The following is a 12,466-nucleotide window of genomic DNA, read 5'->3' on the forward strand; positions in this document are numbered from 1 at the left end:
GAGCACATATCGCCCCCAGCCTTGCCCCCAGATGTTGAGTGCTGGGTGCCGGAGTGCAGAGGGGAACAAGGCCTGGACCCTGCCTGGGGAGAGGCAGCACCTGGGAGATCTTTGTGGCTTCAGATCCCATGTGGTCCTCCAGGTAAAGCAGAGCATCTCTGGGGTCTAGGCTGGGGGAAAACTCTTGCAAAAAATTCCTGGTTCTGGGACAGAATGCATGGGGTCTGCGTGAGGGGCAGAGGACAGTGCCAGGCCAGTGAGCACGCACTGGGCAAAGGAAGTGGCCAGAGACCACTCATAAGAAAAAGTGGGACATGAACCTCAGAGCCTGGGCTGCTTTCAGAGGAGCCAAGAGCCTGGGAAATAAGCATCTTCTGGTGAGGAAATCAGCAGGGGGAGGGGAGGGTCATACAGGAGGGGACTTTTAATCCTGAATGGCCTTGCAGGGCATGGTTCCCCTAGTGTGCCCCATGGAACCCTTGGCTGTTAGATGTGAGGTGATAAATGGTGTGTGGATGCATACACTTGGGACTCAGACTCTGCTGCCCTTAGACTTTCACCCTCCACAGGGCTGCGTTTAAAGGTCCAAGAAGCCCTGCAGAAGAAAAACCTAACTATTGAACCAGCATTCCCTATACGTATTTGGCCCCTGATTTTTTCCCCCGAATAACATCATTACAATCCTATGGGATTAGTGTTCCATGGCAGAACTTTGGGAAGTGTTTTTTGAAGAATTTGTAAATCCCTGCACCCTCTGGACTGTGCCCATTTCTTAGATTGCATGGAGGCTGTGCTGTACAGTGGAAGGAGTATGGGCTTTAGATGGGACTGGCCTGTGTTTAAATCTGCTTTCCCATTATACAAAATCTCTGATCTTGATCAAGTTACTTACTCTCTCAAACTTAGTTTCCTTATCTGTAAGACAGGGGATGAAACATTAGCTAGTTGTCTTATGAGGCTGTTGTGATGGTTAATGGGAAGATAATAATGACACTTACAGAGGGCTTGTTATGCTCCAGACACCATTCTGAGCACTTTATATATCTCACTTACTTTTCACCACAACTGTGAGGCAGGTAATGTTATCCTTATCCTACAGGTCAGGTCAGGAGACCAATGACACATACAGGCTAAATGTTGTGCCCAACATCACACGGCTGGTAAATGTGGGACCTAAGATTTGAACCCTAGGCACTCATACATGATGGGGTCAGGATTTGAAACTTGACCGTCATCTCCCATCAGAGAACATGCTCTGAATCAGTATGTTCTAAAGGGTCTAGAGCAGTAAAAGCACTAATTGGTATCAGTTCCCTTTTCAGATGGTTCGTGGATATGTTAGGGGGATTGATGGTTCCTGGGACTCCAAGTCATTCTGCAGTCATTAAAATCAGCCCTGTTGAAAGAGTAATCTCCTCGATCTGCTTGCCCACTCAGATGCTCCCATTGTGACCATTTTGTTTGCTCTGCTGCCTCATCCTGGGCCACTTCAATTTGGGTGGCTGCTCAGCGTTCAGGTGGAGTCGGGCCACTTTCCACAGCCATCTCATCTGTGGCCTGTGCCTCCACTTCCAGGACCAAGAGTCCCCCCAGGATGCCCAGTGAGTTGGTAGCTTGTTCTCTTTCTACACCTCAGTGATGGACTTGACAAAGGGTTAAGAAGACATCCCTTTTATCATTCAGCAAACTGAGTGCCTTTACTGAGCTAGATGCATGCCCTGGGGGAACTAGCACTGTTTGGTGACTTAGTTAGACCTCTGAATCCCTCTACCAACCCTCAGTAGCTGTCTGGGAGACTGGGATTCTGTGGACTCTCCTCTATCAACGATATTGGGGGTCTTTTCCACAAAGACCAGCCTGGTTTTGATTGACAAAGTGCCTCAGATTTACAAATCTTACCCCTTGCAGGATCCTCTCAACTGATCAAGCCCCATAGCTCCAAATGCCGTCTCCTTGATTGATGTTTAATTTGGGGATCCACAAGCATCTAGAGCTACCAGTTGAATTTGGGTACCCAAGGGCCACAAATGGGCCCCCCTCACACCCTGACCCCTGACAACCAGCACCTTTGAGACTGAAGTACCACTGCATATAGTGCTGTCCTCTGCTCAGGGCATTCTCCCTACCAGCCAGGCCACCCGGCAAACCCCTGCAACACCTCATAAGACCTCTTCGCTGGTCTCATCTCCTTTTATTAACACCTCCTCAGCACCCCTCCACACACACCCAAGCCCACAAGCAAATCATTTTTTCATCTGTTTTGCTCTTGTACCTTACCTATGCTCCACTAATACAAAAAAAGCACGCCTTCCTCAAGACACTTGACTGCCACCTGCTGGAGAGTTGTCATCATGGCTCAACAAATATCTGCCACTTCTAAACCCCCAGGCACCTCTGGAGTAGGGCAGTGCATTGCTTGTACAGCTGTAAACATGGCCTGCCTGTTGAATTGGTCATGCTGTCATGTACTTATTAAAACACTCGTCTTTCTAACTGGACTGAGGACATCTTGAACGTAAGGACTGCCGATTTCTGTCTTCGTCCCCATTGTGGCTTCTGCTAGGGGCTAGAGAAATGCTTATTGAATGATCCTTGTGCAAACACCTGTTACCTTAGGTTCAGGGCATCTGCTGTCATTCAGTGAAGGTCTTCTAAATCTGTCTGTTGCAAAGCAAGGCTCGCCACAGGCTGTCAGAGTAACCATGGAGGTCGGACAGGACTTGCAGTGGGGACAGGGCCCCATCAGCCTCTCACCTCTGCTCAGAGGCACCACCCTCTGAACAGATCAGAGCATAAACAGGTCAGAGCAATTCAGCATTCATTCCCTCTACAGACATCAGGGCAGGCACCATGTAGTGGAGAGTGGGGCCAGGGGCCATCTGCCATGGCTGTTTGGGCTGGGGAAGGAGAGCAGTACTTCTGGAGCATGTGCTGTGCTCAGGGCCAGCTCCCTGTAGGTAGGTTGTGGGAATGCAGAGGTGGCAACTCAAGCACCCCTGCTGGGGATTCAGAGTTTTGTGGAGAAGTAGATCAGTAAGCACATGGATACCAGATAGGGTTGTCAAGGATGTTGATTCACTGTTGTCCCTATTTTCCTAAGCTCGCCACATCATGGAAGGCTGCTACCCAAGTGACATTCTTGGGCTTCACCAAGTGTTTTAACAGAGCTCCACCCAGCTGTCACACTAGGGGTAACACAGTGGGCCAGAAGGAGAGGCAGGCCTTCCCTGGGGTCCCATTTTAAAAAGGGGGAAGTCCTCTGTTCTTTTACAACACTTGTTTACCCCAAGCCATTCAGCATAGTATTACTTAGGTCCCATACAGAGAACCTTCCAACAGATAGCTCTCCTTGCTCAGGCCTGTCCTGATGAACTCCCTGATATTCTTCCAGGTCTTAAAAGAGTGAGAGCTGAGCATTTCCCTCTCTGCCCTGGCTGCCAGGAAGCTCAGAGATAACTTGTTTGCTCAGTTCCTGTAGCTTTCCTGACCCAGGACTTCTTTTTCTTATAAATTCTCCTTGTTCCTTTTCCAGGAATGCTTGCTTTTTATGTTTTGTTTGTTTATGTTGCTTTTGTCTCTGTATTATACTTTGGGGGGTGGTTTTTGGAGGCAGGATTGGCAGCAGCCATGGTAGTTAGAAGCACCAGCAGTAAAGCTGGACACACCTGGGTTTCATCCCCACTTGCTAGCTGTGTCATTTTAAGTAAGATAAGTTGCCTCTTCAGTTCTCGGTTCCTCACCTTGAAAATTGGGATAATGATCATAATGAATGGATAGGTTATTGTGAAAATTAAACTTGTTTATTGTAAATGCATTGTTTCCTGTTCCTGCTCTTGGATCAGGCTTGATCTGTGGCTGTAGAATCCTAGTCTTAATTTCCTTCTTCCTGCCTGTGTCTGTCAGCATATGATGAGTTGTACAATAGTAGTGACTAGGGGACCAACCATCCCGGTTTGTCTGGGACGGAGGGGTTTCCTGGGATGCAGGACTTTCAGTGCTGAATGGGAAGGTCCCAGGCAAATGGATGAGTCGGTCACCCTGGTAATAAACAACCTCAACATCTCAGTGGCTTACTGTAGCAAAGGTTTATTTCTTCGTTGTGCTACTGTCCATCCAGGGCCTTGGCTAAAGGAGGAGCCTCTATCCCAGGAAATTGACAGTCATGGGCACAGACAGAGGAACACATGTTAAAGGTCCTTTAGAAAGTTGTGGCTGTCACTTCTGCCCTCATTCACTGGTTGGGGCCAGTCACATGGCCAGGCCTGCCACCAGGCTGTGCAGAACCTTCCCACTGGGTGGGACAGCTCAGCCTGGAACACTGATCCACTCTGCCAGGCTCACCTTTCTCTTCTTTTGCATTTTAGGGTGCTGGAGCAGGGACCAGGGAAAGGAGAGAGTCACTTGGTCTGAACTGGGGGTCTTGGATGTGATCATCTTCCTGTAGATGGTCGGTATGGGTTTCTTAAGGGGCAGGGTTCAGCTTCACCCTGCTCTGCTCAGAGGAGCAGCTGTGTCTCCTTTGGACGCCTTCTAGTGGTTGATGCCCTCACCTTTCTCAGCTGCCAAGGCCTCTCTCGACAGGGCAGGCTGGGCTGTGACTTCTCTTCCACCCTCCTTGCTCCTTCCTGTGGAGCCCCTGAGATCCTTTCCCCATGCTCCTGGGTGGAATGGAGGGTGCCCTCTCACATTCTTCCAAGGCATCTTGCGCAAGTCCCTCCATGCCCTGCTTTCTCTGGCGGTCCAGCATGCCTCCATCTCACCTTTGGGACTCTCTAGCTTGGAAGTGGGCACACCTGCAGCCCCTGACTCCAGGACCACAGGCTAGGCTCTCCCCAAAGCATCCTCATCACACACCATGTGGATGGCCAGGTCAGGGCGGCCGTCAGAGCCCACCCTCGGCAAGGATACCCTCTCAAAGGCACCTCTGTTGGCTCAAATCCCTTTTGGAAGTAGCCCAGAAAGAGGCTTTCTTTTTTCTTATCTTTTGTTGTTTTATTTATTGTTCTTGCATCTAAGAACACCTTCTTGGTCAGAAAACAGTTTTCCAGAAATAATGTTAAGTAAGTGTCACAACTGGTTTAGCTCCCTAACCTGGTCTAAGCATATAAGAGAGGCTTTTGAGGCTGGGCGTGGTGGCTCATGCCCATAATCCCAATACTTTGGGAGGCCGAGATGGAGGGATTGCTTGAGTCCAGGAGTCTGGGCAGCATAGTGAGACCTTGTCTCTTCTAAAAATAAAAAATTAGCTACGTATGGTGGCACATGCCTGTAGTCCCAGCTACTTGGGAGGCTGAGGTGGGAAGATCACTTGAGGCCAGGAGTTCTAGGTTGCAGTGAGCTATGATCACACCACTGCACCCTAACCTGGGCAACAGAGTGAGACCCTGTCTCAAAAAAAATAAAAAAGGCTTTTTGATTTTTGTTTTGCAGAAGTACCAAAATCTATATTAGCATTTATTATTTTTATTTCTATAAAGTAAATTTGAGTATTGGGAAAATTGATCAAAATGAGAAATTTCATATGGAGTTTAGTACTTGAAATTTGGATCCTTCATCTAAATTTCAGGGAAGTCAGGGCTGGGCATGGTGGCTCACACCTGTAATCTCAGCATTTTGAGAGGCCGAGATGGGCGGATTGCTTGAGCCCAGGACTTTGAGACCAGCCTGGGCAACAATGCAAAGCCTCCTCTCTACAAAAAATATAAAAACAAGCCAGACATGGTAGTGGTGCATACCTGTAGTCCCAGCTACATGACAAACTGAGGCAGGAGGATAGTTTGAGCCCAGGAGATGGAGATTGCAGTGAGCCGAGATCATGCCATTGCACTCCAGCCTGGGCGACAGAGCAAGACTGTCTCAAAAAATAATTAAATAAGTAAGTAAATTTCAGGGAACTCAGAGAACGAGAAAGGACATGAAATTGTTCATTTATTTAGCATTTGTTGAGTACCACCTGGAGTGAGGCACGAGATCAGGCACAGGAGACGCCTATAAATAAGGCCCTACCTGCCTGAAGCTTATGGGAGGTGGAGGAGACACGCCTACAAGCAGAGAATGGTCACAGGGCGTGAAGGAGCCTGGGCAGGAGCTGCTGCAGGAGAGCCAGGGAGAGAGGATACAGCTCTGAAGGCTTCTCCAGGAGGTGTGCCCACGGGCACAGGAAAGGAAAGCAGGAGTTTATCAGGTGACTGGGTGGTTGAAAGGAGCCACACCTGCAAGAAACGTGGGCCCAGCAGAGGCAGGGTGGTTTTGGGAACTCTTGTCTTTTAGTCTGTCGGGGGGCTTTGGGTAGCAGATGGGAGGGTTGGGCTGAAGACTAAGCAGTGTTTCCTGCTGGGTGGGTTTGAACTTTGTTTGGAAGACTTAGGGGGAACAGTGAAGCTATTGCAGTGGTCTGAGCAAGGGGGTATCCCGCCTCTGACCACAGTGGAGAGGGGATGGGGCTGGAGACGACAGCAGACTGAACAGAGGCAGTGACAAGGATCTGGAGGGAAGTGGCTGGGCCCATCCCTTAGAGGGCTGTGTGGGGGCTGTGGGGTGTGGGAGGAAGAGAGGAAGGAAGCCCAGGGTAGGTTCTGGGTTGCTAATTTGGGGGCTGGGAGGATAGCGTGTGACCTAAACAGAGAATCAGATTTAGATGGAATTACCTATATTAAGCCTGGGGATTTCATATCTATTTGCTGCTGCTTTACCAGTTGAGGCTCAAGAATGAGAAGCACAAAATTTCTGGTCACATTATTTGCATGTGCCCAGACTGGGGTTAACAGAATCGGACAGTGAGCGTTCCTGAATCAGACTGCAATGGGGAATGAATGCCTTGGGAGGCTGGAAGCAGTTGTATTCGCAGATATTCATTTGGAGATCTCTATAGCGATCGAGGCAAAGATACCCCAAAGACTGCAAGAATTAGCCAGTGGAATTTGAAATGCCAAAATTTTTTTTCAGAAAGGTCAGGAAAGCCCCGTTTAAAATCTAAATTTTGCCATCTCAAGGCAGTGCAGGGATGGATTAGGAGGATGTGGGGTGACCCTTTTCTTCCTTTCAGAGCCAGTTTCTGCCAGACACAGGAATCCTCCACATGAGTCATAGGGTGGAGAGGAGACCCCTCAGTCCTTTCAGTAAGGTGGGAGGGCAGTACCGCCCGGTGGCTACCATGAACCCTGTTTCAGAATTTCTTTCTTAACTTCGTGTGTGCCCAGGTGCACTTGAGATTCACTGATGTTTTCTTTAGACCGAGGAGCTCGCTTCAGCAGTTAGTTTCAGGTGTTGGCTCTGCTGGCATTATGCTTCGGCTTAATGTTTTCTGAAGACTTGTTTTCTGTTGTTTTTCATTGTTCTTGTTGTCTGGCTTCAGGCCACTACCTTCAACCTAGCAAGAGCTGAGTGGTGCCTTCAGCAGTGAGGTAGCTTCTGAAGGCCACCACTCTCTTGCTGTGTGACTTTGGCTAGTTTCTCCACCTCTCTGTGCCTCAGTCTCTTCTGTAAAACGGAGAACACAGGAGTATCTCCCTCATAGAGTTACTTTCAGGTTTCAATGAGTTAATCTACATAAAACAATAAGGATAGAGCCTGACACAAAATCACACTCAACAAGTTTTCACAATTATGATTACTTGACCCAGTAGGAGAAATAAAAAACACAACTAACTTCCTTCTAAGGACATGCCCAAGAATCCAGTTTTAGTAACTTTGAAGGCATTGTTTTTCACCGAAAATATCTCCTGCCAGATTTTTTCATGTGTTTGCAGCTTAGCTTTAACAAGGAGCTGAAGGACGGCCAGGCAGCAAGGGGTGGTGAGTGCCGGTAGAGTGTGACGAGCTCGCCCAGCCTTCCTCCCTGTAATTAGGAGTCATGAACCATCTACACCATCTCCCTTAGCTAATAAGAGATTTTTACATTTACTTACCTCAAAGTGACCTGTCTGGGTTTTCTTTTCTTGTGGCCCCCACTGTAGGTTTTTGGAAGAAGCTGACCGCCTGAAAAGAAATTATAAAACATGAAAATCGCTTTGAGGTGACCAAGTCCAGAGGCCCCTAACTCCTCCCAAGCTGGATCTGGGGTGTAAGAACTGTGACTTCAGGTAACAAAGTAGTATCCCCTCCCTGCCCCCTGTGAACTCATGATTCTTGGTAGCTTGCATGGCAGTTCTTCCTTTAGGAAGTGTAGTTTCTTCCAGGAACTCTGAAACTTGGGGTATTCTACCTCATGCGGTTGTTTGGCTGGTCAAAAAAGGGAGTGGGGGATTCTGGAGGTACTTCATGTCTGCTGCATGGCCCAAGGGGGCCAGGGCTCCATAAATCACCAAGACCCTGAGGGCAGGGCTCTGTACTCATTCCTGGCCCTGCTTCTGTAAATGTTAATGACAAAATAACAATGTCACCCACCCAACAGGGTCTTTAATATGATTAAATAATCATGAAATACTTCTTGAAGGATAAATCAGAGAGAATAGCTAGGAAATTTCCAAAAATAAAGAGCAGTAGGAGAGTATTTGTTCTGCTAGCTATTAAAATGTATTCTAAAGCACAGTTGTAAAAACAGTATAGTACTGTGATGGAAATAACTAGATCAGAGGAACAGAGTAGAGAGTCCAGAAATAGGTGATAAATCAATAAAGGTGTATTTCAAGTTAGTGGCAATGGGATGCATGGACTAGCAAATGGTGTTAGAAAAAATCTCCTATCCATTAGAGGGAAATAAGAAATTCCTAAGCTTAGGTAGTATATCAAAATAATTTCCAAATAGCATTAAATTAAAAAAATCATTAAAATCTTAGAAAAAAGAATATTTATATTATTTTGGGTAAGAAAAGACTTAAAACATGTCACTTTTGGTCCCACATACAAATATCGTAAACAAAGTTAAAAAGCAAAAGGGTGGGAAAAGTGTTTACAACATCAATGATGAACAAAGAATTAATATTCTTAGTATACAAATTTATTCGTTCATTCAATATTTATTGAGCACTTAGTATGTACTAGAAAGTATTCTGGGCACTAAGGGCACAAGCAGTAAATAATGTTCCTGTTCTCCTGGTACTTAGACCCTGATGGAGAGGACTGCCAGTGACTATGGTAGATTATTGTAGGTCACATTTTGATAAGGGCTAAGGACAAAACATTACGTAGGTGGCTGGGCTAGGGAGGCTTGGCAGGGTTTGCATTATGTGGATATTCAAGGGGGCTTCACTGATGGAATGACATGTGAAGAAAAAGGGAAAGTCATTGAATGTCGAGCTGATAGCACATTTGCTGTTTTTGGAATGTCGAGCTCATAGGATTTGCTGATGGATTGAATGCGGGTTGTGAAAGAAAGGAGTCAGGGTGGCTTCTAGGTTTGGGGCCTGGCAACCAGAAGGATTGACATAGGAATGACTGAGAGGCTTGGCTTGGAGATAGAGTTTTGGTTATGGATGTTTCAGTTTAACATCTCTCTTGTATATTCAAGTGAGGACGTCAGGGAGGTGGTCGGCCATAAATATCTGTAATTCAGGGTGACATCTAGGCTGGAGATATAAATTTGGGAATTGTTGCAGTGTTGATAGTATTTGAAAGAATGACACTAGCTAGAGCCCCTGGAGAGTGTGTGTAGATACAGAAGAGGGCCCAGGACATCCATGGGACCCTCCCTTAGAGTTGAGGGAGATGGAGCCAGCTAAAGAGAGCAAAAAGGAGTGACCACTGAAATGGAAGGAGTCCCGTGAGAAGGGGGATCTCCCAAGCCAAGAGACAGTGAGAAGGGCGAGGTCAGCTCTCCTCTGGATGTGCTGATGGGCAAGGAGAGAACTGGCCATTGGATCTAGCAGTGAGGAGGTCACTGGTCAACCCAACAAGGGCTGTTTTATGGGAATGATGGGGAGAGAATCTGTTTGGAGTTGGATTATTGAGAATAAGAGGAAAAAAACTGGAGACAGAGAAATGGGACAATAGCTGGAGGAGGATGGTATTCAAGTAAGTTTATTTTTCCCAAGATGGGAGTTACATAACTCTTGTTTTCACCCAAGTGGAAATGATTCAGTAGCGTGGGGAGAGTGGATGGTGCAGGATTGGGCTGGGGTGAGGGTTCTGAAATGGTGGTCTCGAGGAGGTGGGAGAGGTAGAATCCAGGCATGAGCTGGGGAAGGGATCCTAAGTAGGAGCATCTAAGGAGGTGGTAGGTGTGCACCTGCCTCTTTTCTCAGTTCACTAAGAAGCAGAGTCCTCAGCGGAGAATGGAGACTAAGGAGACGATGGAAGTTTGAGGAGAGAGGGCAAAGTATGAAGTCCTTCATAGCAGAATGAGAAAATAAATGGCCAGGGGAATGAAGGATTGCTGGGCGGCATGCAGGCCTCTAAGGGGTATGTTTCTCCAGCCATGTCCTGTTACACAGGTGAACACGGGGTAGGAGGCCATTGTGGTAGAAAAACAGGACATGAGCAGACACAACGTAAGACAGAGAAACGCCTGTAAAGAGAAAAAGCAACATCAGTAATAGCTGAAGAATACAAGTAAAAACAATGAGGTTTTCTTTTTTTCTCTTTAGACTGGCAAGAGCTCTTGTTGGGGATAGAAATTATTGTCGCTTTTCTGGAGCACAGTGTTACAGTATGTTCCAGAATACAACGTGTGTCCCGTTTTGACCTGTCAGTCCCACCTTTAGAAATTTATTCTAAGAAATAATTGCTCAAATGCAAGGAAATATATGCACAAAGATGTTCACCCCAGCAGTGCTTATCAAAGTGAAAAAATGGCAGTCATCTAAACAGGAGGCAGCTGGTTCACTTATCTGTCGGCCTAACAGTGATAGTGGGAAACAGTAGCTCACACTCACCCTCCTGTTTTGCAGATGAGGGAAGTTGGGTCCAGAGAGGGGTAGTGACAGCTCCAGTCCTACTCCACGGAGCTCAGACCCCCTGGCTGTAGGCAGGCACCCTGCCCAACCTCTTCAACTGGGCTTGGAGTCAGAGTCCCTTGCAAGGCACTTGTCAAGCCCTTTTCAAGGGCCGGTTTGCTTAATGCTTTTAAAATACGAGTTCTCAAAATGTTTTGCAAATTTGTTTACAATGTCTTCATTTCATCTCATGGCTTTCCTTGCAAAGGATGCTGACAGTGGGGGGAAAACAGGCCGACTGCCTGGCCGTGATAGAGGGGACCATATTTTCCTGATTCCCAAGTAAGACTTACAGTGGAAGAAAGGATATTTTCTGCTTTCTTACAGTGTTTACAAAAGTCATAACAGGATGTGAGGACTATCTGGCTGCAACATCTGTCACCCCATTGGTCGCCAGAGTTGATTGGGCTGATCTGGCTGGTTAGGCAGGTGTCCCATTCCTCCCTCACCACTCCATGTGCGTCCCTCCCAAAGCTGTATGCTCAGAAAGGATGACCATCCCCGATAGAGGAGGACTGGTCTTTGGTCAAGGGTATATGAGTAGCTGCAATCTTCTGCTAGGGACCCCCAAACAAGCTCTCAAAAGTCATAACAGGAGTACAAAGATAATAAGGAACTTGCATTTATTTGTTTCCTTGATCATATGTTTATTGATTAGAAGAAAATAAAATTAGCAGCCAGCCGTGGTGGCTCACACTTGAAATCTCAGCACTTTGGGAGGCTGAGACGGGCAGATCTCTTGAGGTCCAGAGTTCAAGACCAGCCTGGCCAACATGGTGAAACCCCATCTCTACTAAAAATACAAATATTAGCCAGGTGTGGTGGTGTATGCCTTTAGTCCCAGCTTCCCAGCGTTTTGGATGGCTGAGGCACGAGAGTCACTTGAACCTGGGAGGTGGAGGTGGTAGTGAGCTGAGATTGCACCACTGCACTCCAGCCTGGGTGACAGAGTGAGACTTTGTCTCAAAACAAATAAAAAATAAAAATAAAATAAAATTAGCTTTGTGTGTGGAGAAAAGGGAGGAAAAATAATTAGCATTGTCAGAGAACATCTGGGTTATTTGGTCCCCTCCGTGGGAACTGCCCTGGGTTTTCACTTCTAGAGTTTCTGGTTCTGGTTTAATTTTTCCACGCCACAGCACAGGGACCGAGAAGCTGCTCAGCTTCTCTAGGCTTTTATGTCTTCACCAGAAAAATGAGCGGGTGGGCTTAAATTTCCTACAAAAACTCTTAAAATAAATATGATGCTCTTTCCATTCTATCACATGCCTGTTCTGGGTCCGGGGGTGTGAGAGATGCATTAGTGCTGCTGTAAACCAGCCCCGGGTCTCCCCCCCCGGCCCCCCACCACCAAACCCCCAAGCACCAACCTGGGTTCTCCACCACTTTTGAGAGCTCATCGAAATAAACACACCTTTGTGCCTCTTGTAACAATTCCAGATCATCCAATGGCAGACCAGAGAATGGACATTTCTTCAACCATCAGTGATTTCATGTCCCCGGGCCCCACCGACCTGCTTTCCAGCTCTCTTGGTACCAGTGGTGTGGATTGCAACCGCAAACGGAAAGGCAGCTCCACTGACTACCAGTAAGGC

The 12,466-nt window shown here is 47.2% G+C and overlaps 1 protein-coding gene and 1 pseudogene across 47 annotated transcripts in view, besides 1 other annotated feature; both read left to right on the forward strand.

Moving 5' to 3' along the window:
- BMAL1 (basic helix-loop-helix ARNT like 1) overlaps window positions 1-12,466 on the forward strand; it is a 110,615-nt gene that overhangs the window by 65,338 nt on the left and 32,811 nt on the right. For 32 of the 47 annotated variants that reach the window (NR_147788.2, NR_147790.2, NR_147791.2 and 29 more), the window contains 2 exons: window positions 7,956-8,081; window positions 12,312-12,459. Coding sequence is in view for 27 of the 47 variants with exons in the window: in NM_001351804.1 (NP_001338733.1) it covers window positions 12,320-12,459 (140 nt within the window). In the remaining 20 variants the exon portion in view is untranslated. Of the gene's footprint in view, window positions 1-1,437; window positions 1,602-7,955; window positions 8,082-12,311; window positions 12,460-12,466 lie in introns of all 47 variants that reach the window. The other 15 variants (XM_017017738.3, XM_017017739.3, XM_011520105.4 and 12 more) reach the window with 2 other exon arrangements.
- Window positions 1,475-1,524: an enhancer, noted in NCBI's record as "active region_4464". NCBI's record gives its function as "activates an Ori minimal core promoter by ATAC-STARR-seq in GM12878 lymphoblastoid cells {active_cell/tissue: GM12878}" and the evidence as "EXISTENCE:reporter gene assay evidence [ECO:0000049][PMID:35858748]".
- RN7SKP151 (RN7SK pseudogene 151) lies at window positions 11,219-11,534 on the forward strand (annotated as a pseudogene).

Source organism: Homo sapiens, chromosome 11 (genome assembly GCF_000001405.40).
Source record: "Homo sapiens chromosome 11, GRCh38.p14 Primary Assembly".
NCBI classification, from domain to species: domain Eukaryota; kingdom Metazoa; phylum Chordata; class Mammalia; order Primates; family Hominidae; genus Homo; species Homo sapiens.